The sequence below is a fragment of the Homo sapiens genome, chromosome 2 (assembly GCF_000001405.40).
Source record: "Homo sapiens chromosome 2, GRCh38.p14 Primary Assembly".
Lineage (NCBI taxonomy): Eukaryota > Metazoa > Chordata > Mammalia > Primates > Hominidae > Homo > Homo sapiens.
Genome location: NC_000002.12, coordinates 222,470,346 through 222,487,554, shown reverse-complemented (window position 1 = coordinate 222,487,554; position 17,209 = coordinate 222,470,346). Strand labels below are relative to the sequence as shown.

General features: G+C 41.0%; 1 protein-coding gene across 3 annotated transcripts in view, besides 3 other annotated features; it reads right to left on the bottom strand.

Moving 5' to 3' along the window:
- The window catches only part of SGPP2 (sphingosine-1-phosphate phosphatase 2), a 138,634-nt gene that overhangs the window by 75,067 nt on the left and 46,358 nt on the right, over positions 1–17,209 (bottom strand). For all 3 annotated transcript variants that reach the window (NM_001320834.2, NM_001320833.2, NM_152386.4), the window contains one exon: positions 12,829–12,987. Coding sequence is in view for 1 of the 3 variants with exons in the window: in NM_152386.4 (NP_689599.2) it covers positions 12,829–12,987 (159 nt within the window). In the remaining 2 variants the exon portion in view is untranslated. The remainder of the gene's footprint in view (positions 1–12,828; positions 12,988–17,209) is intronic.
- Positions 8,594–9,317: an enhancer, noted in NCBI's record as "OCT4-NANOG hESC enhancer chr2:223342957-223343680 (GRCh37/hg19 assembly coordinates)". NCBI's record gives its function as "activates a minimal SCP1, AML or CMV promoter by ChIP-STARR-seq in naive H9 embryonic stem cells {active_cell/tissue: H9 hESC(naive)}" and the evidence as "EXISTENCE:reporter gene assay evidence [ECO:0000049][PMID:30033119]".
- Positions 16,056–16,575: an enhancer, noted in NCBI's record as "OCT4-NANOG hESC enhancer chr2:223335699-223336218 (GRCh37/hg19 assembly coordinates)". NCBI's record gives its function as "activates a minimal SCP1, AML or CMV promoter by ChIP-STARR-seq in naive H9 embryonic stem cells {active_cell/tissue: H9 hESC(naive)}" and the evidence as "EXISTENCE:reporter gene assay evidence [ECO:0000049][PMID:30033119]".
- Positions 16,576–17,097: an enhancer, noted in NCBI's record as "OCT4-NANOG hESC enhancer chr2:223335177-223335698 (GRCh37/hg19 assembly coordinates)". NCBI's record gives its function as "activates a minimal SCP1, AML or CMV promoter by ChIP-STARR-seq in naive H9 embryonic stem cells {active_cell/tissue: H9 hESC(naive)}" and the evidence as "EXISTENCE:reporter gene assay evidence [ECO:0000049][PMID:30033119]".

The window sequence follows — 17,209 nt, the reverse complement described above, 5'->3', positions numbered from 1 at the left end:
GTTGAAGCCATGGCATATGATGAAAAACACTAAATATCCTATAAGATGCATCACCACCAGTATTTTTATCATCATAAAACTTTCCAAATGAGAGGGGCCCTGTGGTCATTTTGTTCAACTTCACATTTCACAGATGGTTGAACTGAGGCCCAGAGAAATGTCAATTTGTTAGTTATTAGTAAAGGCCGAACTACAATTCATTGCACACTTGTAACATCCAGCGGGCTATAAGCGCATCCCAACCTGGCTATGTCCTCCCTTTGGATTTCTCATTCTACCTTACTAGAAAAACATGGGCTAGGTAAAATAAATAGAGGCTGAGCAATTTTCACTTGGATTATAAACCAGGTCACCTAATTCTTAAGAGGAACAAACCATCCTTTGATTCAATTATTCCTTTTAGGTTAAAAGACTCATGAGTCTTCTCCAATGTCCATCCCGTTTCTCACACATTCATCATGAGTTATAAGTCATTTCTAATCGTATGTCAAACCACTTATCCTAAGCACGATATAAACTGTATGCTGAGATCAAACACAACAAAGGACAGAGAGAGCGATGGAAGGAAAAGGTGACTTACTCTCAAATCAAACAGTAGGATTTAAGAAAAAAATTTTAATTTTTAAAAATTTAAAATTTTTAATTAATGTGGTTTACTACCCACAAAATGAAAAATGAAATTTGTTGGAACATGTTTAATACAGACAAAAAAAAGCCTTAATATATACCATAATTAAGGGAAAAGGTTAGAGCAGAGTACAGAAGTTCATAGCCAGGATTCTGGAATCAGAGAGTTACTGGTTCGAATCTAGGCTCTACACCTCTGGCCATGTCAGCTCGGCTGGCCTTCTCACATGGTTTCCTCCCCTTAAAATGAGAGTCATAATAGTAGTGCCTACACTTCGCTCAAGAATATTTATAAAGGCCACAACCCCGCATCTAGCATGTAGTCAGGACCTGTAAATGATGGCCCTTGCCACACAGAGAGTGAATATCTTGAAAGTTGGCAAATAGTCCATACTCACTGAAGGAATAGCCAAACTATGGCCACACAGCCACATGTGGCTCATGTTTACAAATTCTATAACGTTATTTATTCATAAGCAGCCATATTGTGGCTCTTTGCAAATTATTTATTCAAGACCCTTCATTCCACCTCACAGAGGACGGAATAATAATAATAATAACGATGATGCTAATAATAATAAAAAGAAGGGTACGCAAGCAAGGAGACCACTGGCCAGGGCTTCAGGCACCAGGAGATGGTCAGGAATGCTGGGGGAGGGCAGATGTCCAGAGAGAGGGGCTGGCACCCATGGAGTCAAATTCAGAAAGCCTCAGTTTCCCAGAGGTAGCCTCAGCTGGCTAAGGCCCAGCTTCCGCATAGCAAATGCAGCACCTCCCTGCCACCGTGCAGCCCATCGAGGCCACTACACCAAAAGAGCCTGAGAAGCATCTTGTGGCAGCCAAACCCACAAGAGAGGAATGGAGGTCAAGGCCAGTTCCCTGAGGCCGGGCCCTCTAACTAGAGAGGGCTCCCTGGGAAGCCCCACCCTGTGCTGGTGAAAGGAGTGGGAAGAGAAGCAATAACAGCAGTTAAGTTAAAGACTGCATTTGTTTTGCAGTTCTCAAGCTTTCAGAAAATCCCAGAGGCCAAAATAAACGGTGGCCTCTTTAGCTGTGAACAGATAGAGCACTTAACCAAGGAAAGCCTCTCCTTCCCCTTCCCAGCATGGGGAACACTTGCTAACCCTCAAATGCGACAGGAGAGCTGGTGAGGAGTTGGAGGCTCCTTGTCACTCACACAGGAGCTGGACAGGCCTGGGGTGTGGGGAAGATGAAGGCAGGCAGAGGCAAGAAGCCTGGGAAATTCGTGTAGGGGGAGGAATTGACAAGAAAAATACCCAGTCCCCTTAGGTCAAATCCCTAGCTCCTAACAGGGACAAAGGGCCTGCTCTTTCCCTCACTCCTTCTTTTCCACTTGGCTGCTTTACAGAATAGGATAAGGAAGTAGAACATGGGCCCAGGAATGACAAGCCCACAGGATCTGCAGGCAGCCCTCTGCAGGCCTCCAGCTCCGAAACAAAAGTACCAAAGCCCTTCTCCGCCCTGCTAGGTCCCTGTGATGCTCTGGCCTTTCGAGTTCGTGTGAAAAATCTGGGACACTCAGTCTGTCAAATGCGGGGGTGGGAAGGGGACGCACCAGTACCAAGGCATGGAGAACTGGAAGGAAAATATCTAGAAAATCTGTGACATATGGCTGCTGTAGATATAGGCACTTGCAAATGAGACTGTAATGCTAAACAGAGCCTTTCCAACCAAATAGGCAAAGCACATTTCTGAATAATTGGACTGGGGAGAAGAGTAAAGTTTCGCCATCTGAGGCAACATGGCGCAGTGGAAAAGAATGGATGGGGTTTAGAGAGCGCGCCAGGGATGAACACTACCTATTCTATTTACTGGTTGTGTCCCTTTGAGCAAGCCACTTCATCTCTTTGGACTTCAGTTGTACTCATCTGTAAAATGGGTTCTTGAGTGTAAAGTACTTGTACATGTAGCGGAGGGGCAGTGAACAGCTTCCATGAGAACCATAACAATTCAAGACGGCAGCTTTGCCAGTGGAATTGATTGGTTTAAAAAAGAGAGAGAGAAAATTAAGATTTTGTTTGAAAATTTTATCTGAAAGTCCTCCATGGTCTACAAATTGGCTCATTATCTTTCCTCTTGTTTTACAAATGAGTAGGAGAGAACCTGGAACAAAATCTAGTCTGGAACAGTGCCTTTGTAAAGAAGCCTCTATGGGGACCAATCCGCCTGCAGGCAGTAGAGGAGGAATCAGGTTTAGCCACAGCAAGAGAGAAACTGAGTTCCTTACCCTCTGCCATATCAGGATGCTCCTTGGTTTGGGGTCTACATGTAACTTGGCAATGACTGTTTGTTTTTTCTCGGTAAGACATTACAGCTGGCATAAGTCCAAAAGGAGGGAAGAAGGATGAACTCCACAATAAAACTCTGTATGAAGTGTTTAGTTCTTTGCATCACTTTAGCAGATCCAACCGAATTTCATCTTTAAAAGTTTCCTGCCTCCAGGATCCTGATGATCCAAACAATTTTCTACCTGACAAAGCTTTAAAGCCATTACCCATCCATCCACACGATACAGTAAATGAAGCATCAGAAATGATCCTGGGGGTGAGGGGAACAACGGGCTCTATCTGGGACAGCTACAATTCTACTCCACCAACAGCATTGCAGTCTTAGCAGCTGTGGGGAAGGGGCAGCAGGAAGGAAGGAGAGAGGGACGGAAGAATGTGAGCACGTTTTCCAGTCATCATCATAAAAAAAGAGAATCATTTTTCTGGTAAAGATGGTTGATAATTAGAGAGATCTAAACTTATTTGTTCACCACAAGTCCAGTTTTAAGAGCTTTCTTTTTTTTAAACCTACACTAAAACCAAACCTTTTCCTTATTGTGTTTCAAAACCAAACCAATGCAGTTTTTATAATAAACCCCCTAGAGACATTTACTTAATATTTAACTAAGGCTAAATTACAGATTCCACTTCAGAGGGACTAGGCAGAATCTCTGACGCCTAATTCTATTCCGTTCAATGCAAGTTAGTGAGGGTGACAATCTGGCCATTGTTGAATACTTTTAAAGACTCATTAATCTCAAGCAAGAACCAACTTAACAAGCAGGGCAATCTTTTGAAGTGTAGGGGTAGTGGTTTAAACAGAGGATTAAGAGATAATCACATTTAAAGTCATCTTTTGGCACTAAGACTGACCCCAGTCTAAGGATTGTGAATTACAGGGATGGGACAGGCTTTTTCCCTCTTGTCTTTAACCAGGTGACAGACTCCCTTATGAGACAGCCAGATGGCAGCCTGCCCACATCCCAAAACACACTAGTCTGTTTTGACACATTATCACAAAACGTTTACCTCTTAACCAATTTATGACTGTTGCATAAAATAATACCCTAAACTCTACAGCAGTTAAACACTATCTAAATAGTATGTCCAATTTAAATGTAAATTTTCAGTGTAGTTTTTACTGTAAGTATCAGCTAGCTAGCTGCTGATAATCAGAATGTGAAAGATACTGAAAAACCACCATTTTAAACTTGAGCTCTTTAACATAATTTGTCTTAGAAGGATAGGAACAGAAGAACCTGCTAAAAGGAATCTTCCACTTTTAAGGCTTCCTTATCACCAGGACTTTGGCTCTACAGAAAAAAAAAAAAATGAAATTTATATTTGCCACGCAATTACGCATTTTCCTTTAAAGCATTCCTTCAGTCATGTTGAATACAAAACAGCAGACAAGCTAACAATTATTTAGCAATGGAGTTGATATGCATTTCAAGTGTACTGTCTCATACTGAGGTGATTCAAAACACAAGACAAAATAAGTAAAGCCATATTAGCATTCAGTCTGCACAAGCGATGAAATACCTTCTATTCTATTTTTTTAATGTTGTCCCGCCCAACTTTCCTTCTTTTCCTTTTTCCTCTATACCATGGATCAATCTGTTTTAAGTGTCACATAACAAACATATAATGAAGAGTCATGACATCACAAGCCTCCAAAGATCCTCTAGCTGGGTCCTTTCACTCTGAAGCTAGGAAATCTGCAGGGCAGAATCTCCAAGTTCCTTGAAGAAGGTTTCACTGCTAAGATTGCAGTCCAGGTCTCCTGATGTTCCAGAACCTGGCCCATGGCTCTGTGGCCCTAGTTAGTTGTCCATCCTTACCCAATACAGCTGTTTGGACCAAGTACAGCCAATCTATGCATTGGCCAGAGATGGATGGAGTTTTGCTACCAGACTACACCAGGGGCTGTGTCTGGCTGTCTTGAAAATCTGAACTGAAAGACAGTTGAGGGGTGACCCATGCCTATAATCCCAGCACTTTGAGATGCCAAGGTGGAAGGATTGCTTGAGGTCAAGAGTTCGAGACCAGTCTGGCCAACATAGTGAGACCCCCAACTAAGCCAGGTGTGATGCTACATGCCTGTAGTTCCAGCTACTTGGGAGGCTGAGGTGGTAGGATCACTTGAGTCAAGGAATTCGAAGCTGCAGTGAGCTATGATTGTGCCACTATACTCAAGCCTGGGTACCACAGCAAGACCCTGTCTCCAATCAATCAATCAATTAATCAAATAAAAGACAGTTGAGAAAGTAACCAGCCAACAGAAGGAGATAAAGAAGAAGATATCAGGAAAATCACAATTGAATTATAGCAGACAGCCAAACTGTTCACTAGCATTTGTTCCTGTGAGCTTCTGGTTCTTAGATTTTCCATCACTTTACAGCAAATTCCTACTTTCCTGAGTTAGCTTGAGTGGGTCTCTGTTTCTGAAAGCTAAGAAACACTACCTATATTACATCAGCCTGGTGCTCCTTTCATGGTATTATAGGACCAGAAACTTCTGACCAAACCTCAAAGCTGCTGGTGAAGTAGAAGCAGCCCCACCCTCTTCTCACACAGGTACTCCTTGCTTCCAATCTGGGAGATGATCAAAAGCCAATAATTATTAGAAGAGAGATTAACCCTGTCTGGAAACTCTCAGGGACAACCAGAGCTTCAGCATAATCAGAAAAGCCATAATAACAGTTCAGTTACAATAACACTTACTTAAAAATAACCATGCTATGTTAGAATGGTGGGAAATATGTCTTTTGATGTTAGGTGAAAAAACAAATCTTACAAATGGGGAAAAAAATCAAGAAGAAACTCAGAAACAAATTTTAACTTTACTGGAGTTCAGGCAGCATGTACCAGGTTTTCTAAGGGCTGGTCACCCCCCACAGTAAGCTCTTTTATGCAGGGAAACTACACACCAGAAACATTAAGTGCCCGAGGACAGGAGTCCCACATTAAATGGCCTGTAAAGGACCTGGGAGGTCATAAAGGGTAAGACATAAAGGGAATGGTGAGGTCTGTGCCTAAAGTGAGCACTCAGTATAAAAGCATTCAAATTCCATTTTAAAGGATTTTCCTAGGTCACTATTGATGATACTATAGAATTAAATACCACTTCTCAAAGTCTTGAACTTCTAAACATCTTACATATAAAGATACACTGCCTCTGAGACACAGAAAATTCAGTATCATTCTACGTTAACAACTGGTGGAAATCAATAAAAAATGAAAGCCCCTTTTAAAAAAATACAAGGCAGACTGACAATTCATACAAGTTAATACAAATGATTAATAAAAGTATGAAAAATGTTTTCATCTTCACTAATTATATATGAACTGGAAGTTAACTGAGATATCATTTTTCTTTTTTATTTCAATTTTTATTTTAAGGTCGGGGTACACGTGCAGGATATGCAGGTTTGTTGCATAGGTAGACATGTGCCATTTTGGTTTGCTGCACAGATCCCCATCACCTAGGTATTAAGCCCAGTATCCATTAGCTATTCTTCCTGATGCTCTCCCTCCTGCCAACCCCCAACAGGTACCCAGTGTGTGTTGTTCCCCCTCACGTGTCTGTGTGTTCTCATCAATCAGTTCCCACTTATAAGTGAGAACATGCAGTGTTTGGTTTTCTGTTCCTGATAGTTTGCTGAGGATAATGGTTTCAACTCCATCCATGTACTGGCAAAGGACATGATCTCATTCCTTTTTATGGCTGCATATGTACCACCTTTTCTTTATCCAGTCTATTATTGATGGGCATTTAGGTTAATTCCATGACTTTGCTATTGTGAATAGTGCTGCAATGAATATACGCATGGAAATACCATTTTTCTTTGGTTAAATTAGCAATGATTTAAAAATGAGAACACCGAAAGTTCAGGAAAAGGAGTCAGAATGAGTACTCTCACACAGATGATAAGCGGGTACTGACACCAGATATTTCTGAGAAAATAATTGAGCAACATGTATCACTAGCCTTGACAATACACTATCAATTTCACGAGTCAGGAAAAGGTTTGCTCTCTTAGAAACAGGCTTATGATTTCCTAGTGGATAGCATAACTTCATTTTGGTCGGTCAAGACAAAGCTCAAATATGAATCTGTGGCTCACCTTTGAACCAGCATGCCACACTTCACTTTAGCCTGGGCTTTCATCTTCTATTGTATCTGTGCTCTCCTTACTTTCACTTTGTATCTGTTTATCTCATTTTTTCTACATCTCATTATGAATGCCATGAAGTATCCGTGGAAAGAAATATCAGTGTAAAATATCACAATAAAACAGAGAAAATGAGGCTTCCAAACTCCCAGGATGAGTTGCGGTGTCAATGTTTGCATTGCTATTTCACAAAATGAGGAATTTAGCAAAAAAGTGAGTGAGATTTTGCCTCATGTTACAAAACTAAATACCTCCCAAGTTCAGTGAAGTTGCCTCTAACCTTTTAAAGATACAGAAATATAACTTTAAAGCTTTTATTTTTTTGTTAGGTCTGTCACCATGCCAAAATGAAAGTGAAGAGATTAGATAATCATGCCATGGGGTAGTGACTCATCTTCTGAAACATCATCCTCAATATCTCTTTATAAGCATTCTAATCAGAAAATCCATTTGCTGTCTTTTTTGGCTCAATGTCTAAAATTCTTTTGAGCCCAAAGATAGGTTAAAAACCTTGATACAGGACAGAGGAGAGAAGTTAGTGAATTGATTGATGTGTTTCAGTTAATTTAACAAAAGCTTATTCCATACTGTGGGGTTTGTTAAGGTTTGTTAACCCATTTATGCTGGAGGTTGCAAATTTTTGTGTGTGAAAAATCAGACCTTAGCGATGACCTTGAGCAGTAGGATATAAATAACTCCCACAAGCTTCGCGTTCCAATAATGGAACACTAGGCATAAATGGGTTAAGAAGGGTAGATAAGAGGCCGGGCGCGGTGGCTCACGCCTGTAATCCCAGCACTTTGGGAGGCTGAGGTGGGCGGATCATGAGGTCAGGAGATCGAGACCATCCTGGCTAACACAGTGAAACTCCGTCTCTACTAAAAAATACAAAAAATTAGCCGGGCGTGGGGGTGGGCGCCTGTTGTCCCAGCTACTTGGGAGGCTGAGGCAGGAGAATGGTGTGATCCCGGGAGGTGGGGCTTGCAGTGAGCCGAGATCGCGCCACTGCACTCCAGCTTGGGTGACAGAGCGATACTCTGTCTCAAAAAAAAAAAAAAAAAAAAAGAAGGGTAGATAAGAAACAGTCAAGCAGAGCACAGGGTTAATAAATGCCATAAGAGCACAGCTGGAACACAAACCAAAGCAAATATTCAATAGAAGAAAACTTTGGGCAAATCATTGTAATACTTGAAGCCCCAGTTTTAGCATCTTTAAAAAATATTGTGCTCCTTATGCTACTTAGCTGCGTTCTTCTAAGAAACAACCACGGCAGCTTCCCCTGGTAGACAAGGCCTGGGCGCAGGAGCAAATCCACCTTGCCATTTAATCCAGTGTGATCTTGGGCAAGTTATTTAACCTTTCTACATTTCAGTTTCAGGATCTGTAAAGTGGGCTGGTAATAACTATTTCTCAGTATTGCTGGTAGGATTAAGTGAAGTAAAATATGTAAAGCACTCTGACAGCGAATGGCATATATACTAAATGCTCAATATAGGGTATGGCTTATCAATATTTGAAATATTACTATTCCAATCTAAAAAATGATACTGCCCATTGTTATGAAGCTCAAATAAGATAATGAACATAGATGCCTATAAAAGCAACAAAAGATGTACAATACAGGTGAGGACTAATTATGATTGTGAGGAGAGAGCACTTGATAACAACCATAAATTCTGCTAAGCTACTTCAGACAGTGTGAGTCACCCTTAATGTAACACAAGATTTTTAAAAGCAATAAAACCTATATAGGGGCTTCATCCAGTGACAATTCCCAAATTAATATAAAATGTGCCAAGCTTTGGCAGTCCTGAACAAAGTTGCCTTCCAGTGAGTTTTGGGCGAGATAAGATGTTCAGTTACAAGACTTCAAGCTCTGTCCCTTATGTAATTAACATTTCTTAATCCCTACCCCTTTGAAGAAGCAGCCACTAATTTAGGGATATCGTTTTCTGAAGAAAGGCTGCCTCAGCAGGAAGCTGATTGCCCTGGCTGGCCCAAGTACCAGAACCTAACCCTTAACCACCCCAGGCTCCCAAATCCGCCCCAACCTCCGGGACTTGCCCTTCCTTTCATCCACCTTCAACTCTGGAGGCAAACCAAATATCTCTCATTATTGTCTCTGTAGCCCATCAGAGAGCACCCCTAATCCCAACACGCGTACGTATACACACACACACACACACACACACACACAAATGCATGCACATACACGAAGATGCACAAACACACGCAAGCACACCCGCACCTCCCTCTCCCCCTCCCTCCCTCCCTCTCTCCCTCTCTCCCTCTCGCCCCTTGGAATGGCCTCCACTCTCTCCCCAGGCACTGGCAGGAACGCACACACTACCTTACGCTTCTCACACTGCCTTCTCACATTACCTTACGCTTCTCACACTTCCTTACAATGACCACACAGAATAACTACAGAACTCTCAGCACAGGGGGACTGGTGAACCAGGCCATGCACCGATTTTAAAAAGTCAAGTAACAGGTGGCCAAACCTCAGGACAAACTGCAGATTCAGAGGTTATTTCTTCCTTTCTTGGGCAAAGATTTTATTTGCCTCACTCTATGACAAAAGCTTGTCATTTTGCCTCAGACAAGCACTCTGACGCTTTGAAGTGAGGAATCCGAAGCAGAAAATAACCACCAATAATGGCAACGAGAGTGTCCCCTAGCCACAGCCTTCTATAGAGTCTAGAGGTCTTCCCAGCTCTCAGGGAAAGTTTTCCACCCTCAGTGGGGGAGATAATTGGCCATGAGCAGATCAAACACATTATAAGATATTCCTGTGTAATGTACTTCTCATCATCTGCCCCACTCAACAATTATTAAAGTTTTGGGATTTAGAACACACACACACACATATATATACACACACCTATATACATACACTCACACATATATACACACCTATAAACACAAATACACATATATACACAGACATATATATACACATAAACATATATACACACCTATATACACACATGCATACACATATATACACACCTATATACATACATTCACACATATATACATACCTATAAACACACATATATACACACCTATACACATATATACACACCTATATACACACATACACATATATACACACCTATACACACACACATAGACACACATATATACTCACACCTATATACACACATATACACACCCATACACACATACATATACACCTATATACTCACATACATGTATATACACACCTATATACATAAACATATATATGCACCTATGCACACACATATATACACACATACACATATACACACACCTATACACACACACAGATATATACACACCTATATACACACACATACACATATATACACACCTATATACATACATTCACAAATATATACATATCTATAAACACACATATATACACACCTATACACACATACACATATATACACACCTATATACATACACACATAAATACACAAAATATACACACACCTATATATACACATATACACACTATACATACATACATACACACCTATATACTCCAATACACATATATACACATCTATATACATACAATAAACACACATATATACACACACCTATATATACACATATACACACCTATATACACACATACACATATACACACACCTATATACACGCACGGATATACACACACCTGTATACACACATACGCATATATACACACCTATATACATACATATACACACACACCTATATACACACATACATATATATACAGTTATACCTTACACACGCACACACACACATCTTAGAAAATAAACGACAGTAGGAAAGAAACTCAAGCCCATAGGTTTTCCAAGGGTTTTCAGATGTTAAGAACAGAAGGACCACTCCCATTCTCTCTCTCCTGCCCCCATCCTGCCTGCTCCGTGGACACAGAAGTGGCCTCAGAAACGGGGAGGGACAACTGGACTAACGTTCTCTTTATGATTTGCAAGATGCCTATGCTTTTGCAGACTCTCAGATTATACTTTTAGACAGAAGCTAGATTTCAAAAGAGGGCTATTGGGAGACAGGGATTTGAAGTCCCAGGTGGAGCCAGGGGCAGTTGCTCCCTAGTCCCTCTGTCACCACCTGGTGAAGAATTTGTGTGGATACCCCGCCCTTGCCACCCCTCACCCTGGCCCAGGACATTGCTGCTTTATTTCTGTCCCCTGCCCCTGAGAACATTCGAATTTATGACCCCTGATCAAGTCCATTCTACTTGTTCTACAAATGAGAAAACATAATGCTCACCATAGGAAAGTCACTTGCTAAAATCTTCTCTTTTATACCCAACCAAGTGCTTCTGAACCTCTATTTCTAGTGCAGAATCTTGAGTCAGGGCAACAGTCTTGTCTGGAAGTTCCCTCCACCAGCTAAATAACCTTTGACCTTAGAGTTGGTTGATCTTCAAGACTCCTTCGCCTTCATGCACCAGTCACTATGCGTTATCATGCTCAAATAGCAACCTGCAGAGTCCTCCACATGCCAGGCCTAGAGCTCTGTGCACACTCTAGATATTCCCACGATGATTCTGGGGAGGCACATTATTCACACAATTTTACAAATGAGGAAGGTAAGGCTCAGCGCAAGGGCACACAGATGGGGCCTGGACTGTACTTGAGCTCAGGCCTCTCTGATACCAAACCTACATATCTGGAGTATGCCTTGCTGCCTTGCAAATGACTACCATCTCCTTCAATGAGACACAAAATCAGAACTCATTTGGCCCTGAACAAAATTAAATGCCAGGGTTACCAGTGAAACAGCAGAAAAAGGCTCTGCCTGTCTACCTGGGATTGTCATATGGTTTCTGTGTATTTGCAGCTGCTCCTGCTACACTAGACGTTCTCTCAAGGAAGCTGCTTTGCCTTATGTGTTTTGGCCTCTCCCATGTGTATAATCACTTAATACTGCTTGGAGGTATTGCTCAACAGCTTCTGATTTTAGGTTCTGATCAAATTTTACTAAAATAGGCCTCTTGGGAGGATGCATTTCATACCACTCTATGGGTCCTTAGAAAGGTTCCTTTCTTCTCTGGTCATCACTTATGCCCTCTCCTACTTTGATCTACCCTTGGGAAAGTATATCTCAAAGTACACAAAATCACAGATTTGGTTTTTACAAATAAAACAAGTTGTGTTCATAGCAGTAAGAGATAAGCCTGGTCAACATGGTGAAACCCCATCTCTACTAAAAATACCAAAATAACCGCGTGTGGTGGTGCACATCTGTAGTCCCAGCTACTTGGGAGGCTGGGGCAGGAGAATCGCTTGAACCTGGGAGGCACCTGACCTCAGGTGATCCGCCCACCTTGGCTTTTAGTTTAGTTTAACTTTGAAGCAAGGATGATAATTGTCCCTCCCTAAAACTGGTCCTCTCCCTGTTGGGGGATGAAAACCACCTTTGTAAGACTAATGAAAGGCCACAAGATTAGAATTTTGGGAGAGTCCTGAATTCTGCAAAGATGTAGGCATCATTAAAGGACAACCAGCCACTGTCCCCCAGCTTACCTTTCTACAATTCCCTTACTGTTCAGGGAACACAAGTTGTGTCTATTGCTTTCTAATTTTTCCAAAGGAAATTAGGCAACAAATTCAACTCTAAGTGGTAAAAAAAAAAAAAAAAAGAAAGAACATATTTGCAAAGTACTTGAGTATCAAAGGAAGTAGTTGTTTTAGAAGTAGCATCAGTTAATGAGTAGTAATAATACTTACAACCCATATGATGATCAATCTTCTGGATAAATAAGGGTCAATATTCCAGTGAGTGAATGGAAGAAACGTGATGTAGAACACTTCTTGGCCCAAAGCAGCTGAAAATTGGAATAGGTAATAGTAGAAATAATTCTTCACGACGTACTTCTGTACATAAGCCTAAAAGACAAAAGTTAGAAGACTCTGTGAGTTCATGCAATATGTCAAGTTTTAAACATCTCTGTCTAAAACTCACAGGTCTCAATTGCCAAGACGCTGTCTCCTCTCCCATTATGTTATTAAGGTATCATTGCTGTGGCTGAACACTTTTCAACCTCAATTTATTCAAACAAACACAGAGGCTGTGAATTTTTTGTAAAATTAAATAAGCAATATCCAAGACAGAAGTACCAGGAGAAGACACACACAAAAAAAGCCAAAAACTTTTTTCTTGTATATGCAGAGAGCTAGAAACCTGGAGAAAGTCAATTCTGTTAGGACATTATATGGGTCTCTGCAATAGGCAGAGTAATGCTTCCCTCAAAGATTTCTATGTCCTAAATCCTAGAACTGAATATATTACCTTACAGGGCAAAAGAGACTTGAAATATGCAATTAATGATCTTTCTATTTTAAAATTTGTATTGATACATAATAATTGTACACATTTATGAGGCACATGTAATATTTTTATACATATGTATAACACATAATGATCAGTCAGGGTACTTCAGATGTCTGTCACCTCAAACATTTATCATTTCTTAGTGCTGGGAACATTTCAGACATTTTCTAGCTATTTTGATATTCTTTTTTTTTTTTTGAGACAGAGTTTTGCTCTTGTTGCCCAGGCTGGAGTGCAATGGCACAATTTTGGCTCACTACAACCTCCGCCTCCTGGGTTCAAGTGATTCTCCTGCCTCAGCCTCCCGAGTAGCTGGGATTACAGGCATGCACCACCACACCCAGCTAATTTTGTATTTTTAGTAGAGATGGGGTTTCTCCATGTTGGTCAGGCTCGTCTCAAACTCCCAACCTCAGGTGATCCACCCACCTCGGCCTCCCAAAGTGCTGGGATTACGGGCGTGAGCCACCGTGCCCGGCCTGACAATAACATATTCTTAACTGTAGTCACCCTACTGTGCTATCCAACACTATAACTTATTTCTTCTAACTGTATATTTGTATGCATTAAACAACCTCTCTTCATCCCCTCTCCTTCCCAGCCTCAAATTAATAATCTTGAGATGGGGAGATTATTCTGGATTTTCTGGGTGGTCTCAACCTAATCACAAGAATTTTCTTTAGAAATGGAAGGAGGAGGCAGAATGGTCAGAGTCAGAGAACGATTTGAAGATGCTAAGCTGCTGGCTTTGATGATGGAGAGAGTGGCCCCGAGTCAAGGAATCTGGAGAGCAGCCTCTAGGAGCTGGAAGAAAGCAAGGAGTCAGATTCTTCCCTCCAGCCTCCAGAAGAAATACCACCTAGCTGACACCTTCATTTTGGCTAAATCAGATCCACTTTGGACTTCTGACCTATAAGAGAATAAATCTGAAACTGCTTTTGCAAAGATTATGAAAGAGAAGAAGTCTAGCCTGGCTGACTCTATCTTGCTTCTAGCCTCACAGGCTGGCTGTATTCACTCACTCCTGGGTGTAGGCCAGGCTACCCATGGGAGGAATTCAGTTTAGTTTAACTTTGTTTATTTTTTATTTTTTGTTTGTTTGTTTTTTTGAGACCGAGTCTCGCTCTGTCACCCAGGCTGGAGTGCAATGGCACTATCTTGGCTCACTGCAACCTCTGCCTCCCAGGTTCAAGCGATTCTCCTGCCTCAGCCTCCCAAGTAACTGAGACTACAGAAGTGCACCACCATGCCTGGCTTATTTTTGTGTTTTTAGAGAGACGGGGTTTCGCCAAGTTGGCCAGGTTTATGTCCAACTCCTGACTTCAGGTAATCTGCCTGCCTTGGCCTTTAGTTTAGTTTAACTTTGAAGCAAGGATGGTAATAGTCCCTCCCTAAAACTGGTCTGCTCCCTGTTGGGGGATGAAAACCACCTTTGTAAGACTAATGAAAGGCCACAAGATTAGAATTTTGGGAGAGGCCTGAATTCTGCTAAGATGTAGGCATAAAGGACAACCAGCCACTGTCCCCCAGCTTACGTTTCTACAATTCACTTACTGACCAGGCGTGTGACTTCCTCAATTGCTCCTATATCTGTATCATCATCATCATCATATAACATCAGTATTGCAGAACCTAAGATTTGTCTTTTGAGATGTTTTCCAGACTTTTGCATTCTGGTGACCAACTGACTCCACCTAGACCCATGACTCATGACTCCACTGGTCCTGTTGCCCCCACTCAGAGGCTGATTGGAGTAATAAACTCTCGTCTTCCACTTGGCTAGTGGGCCCTGCATTAATTAAACTCTTTCTCAACTGCAATACAACCTGCCTCAGTGAATTGGTTTTATTTGTGCAGCAGGAAGAACCCATTGGGAGATTACAAATTTGCATTTTAAGCCACTAAGTTTGTGGTAATTTGTTACAGCAGCAATGGATAACTAATACAAAGATGTTAGAAAAATCACTTGCCTCCGAACCTTACAAATTCATCTTTTAAATGGGACTAATGAAGTTAACCCATCACAATGATGGTGTGAGAAACGCTTAGCAGAAAGTACACACAAGACCTGTTAAAATGCATTCTCATTTTTTATCATCCTTTTCTTCCTACTTACCCTGGGAGTGGGCAGAAAAGAAAGACTTAGGGAATTAAAACAGAAAATCAGCAATCTAGTAAAAAATATGGTAAACACCTTTATATTATGGGATCTTAACAACTTAAAAAACAATAACATGGTCACCCTGTTACATGAAACTAAAAAGCATAATTTTAATCCTACTTAAGGTAGTCGTAAACTTTATAAAAATAAAATCAAAGTAAAATGCCAACACTAAAATAGGAGAGAAAAAGAGACAACACTGTTACAGGGAGATTTTTCTCAAGACTCTTAGAGATCTGGATTTTTGTTTTGTTTTGCTCTACACAAAGTCTGAGGTTCTGGAATCCCGGGGGATTTCAGAAAACAAGTTACATTTGTTTATGTATTTATCCTGTAAATATTCATTCTGTGCCTATGATGCCCATTCTGTGCTAAGTGCTAAGCATACTTGGAAGAGCCAGGTGTGATGTCTGCTTCAAGGAACTCTTATGGGAGAGGGGGGAAGAGCACAATTTGGGGGAATAAATTTTTAAAGGATCATTGTTGTATTTAAGGCCTTAAAAAGGCTGAGAGTACTTTTATACTTCAGAAATAAAAAAAAATGACCTTGGAAACTGCAAGAACATAACTGTACTTGACACTATTGGCTATCAAGTATGCATTCCTCTCTTTTACCTCACTAAGAGGTTCCCAGTTTTGTTCCAGCAGCTCTACCTCCCCAACATAGCCCTGAGGGAAAGTTGACACTCCTCTCTGGGAATGGATCTAGATTCATCCAAAGGAGTCATGATAAGCATAAGAATTCAGTCTCAAGCCGAGCAGTGCACAGGACTACCGGGAGACAGTTACTGGTCAGGGGTAAGTACATGTAATCTAAAAAGGGGTCTCCCACCAGGGATAAACTTTACTTCCAAGTGAATTCAATTGAAAGAGAATGGCAATACATTCATCCTAAACAGGAATGACAATAATGCACAAATGAATTAGATAAGGAAGTGTAGAGTTTCACCTCTCTGCTAAGATACCATGGTTGCATTTGCAAAACAAGGACAAGGGTCCGAGACAAGTTAAGTGACAAATGCCTCTCTCTAGAGCGGAATCATGAACTGCCTGAGGTAAGGACTAATCTCGGCAGGTTCTGTTTACAAATATACAATCCAATAGGCCTGACCTTGAGGCACACCCTATAAAGAGCTCCTTTTCACATAAAGGTTTGTTATTTTAGCCCATCAGCTACCAGATACACCTGGTAATCTTTCCAGCCTTGAAGCTTTACAAGGATAAATTTTGCCGAACTCTAACAAAAGCCTCGCTGCTATCATTTCATGATACCCAAGTGTTATATGACATTATAAGTACTCAGCAACCATCATTACCCTACTCTAGAGACCGACCTGAGACCTAGTAAACAATTGAAAAGACCACCAAAAGTGATAGCAAACTGCTTTAGTGCTACATATCACTAACTAATATCTTTAGACAGGCTTTATTACAATCTCTCAGGAATTTGTTTTTTGAGGGAAAAGCTAACTATTCTCCAACTCTTCTGAGGAACAGAATAACCAAAGGTGAAGTTTAAAATATCAGCATATATAGATGACACCCCAAGGATTTCTTAGATAACTTCTCTGTATACATGATTAAATCGCTTGAGAGCCAATACTTTCCTTTAAATT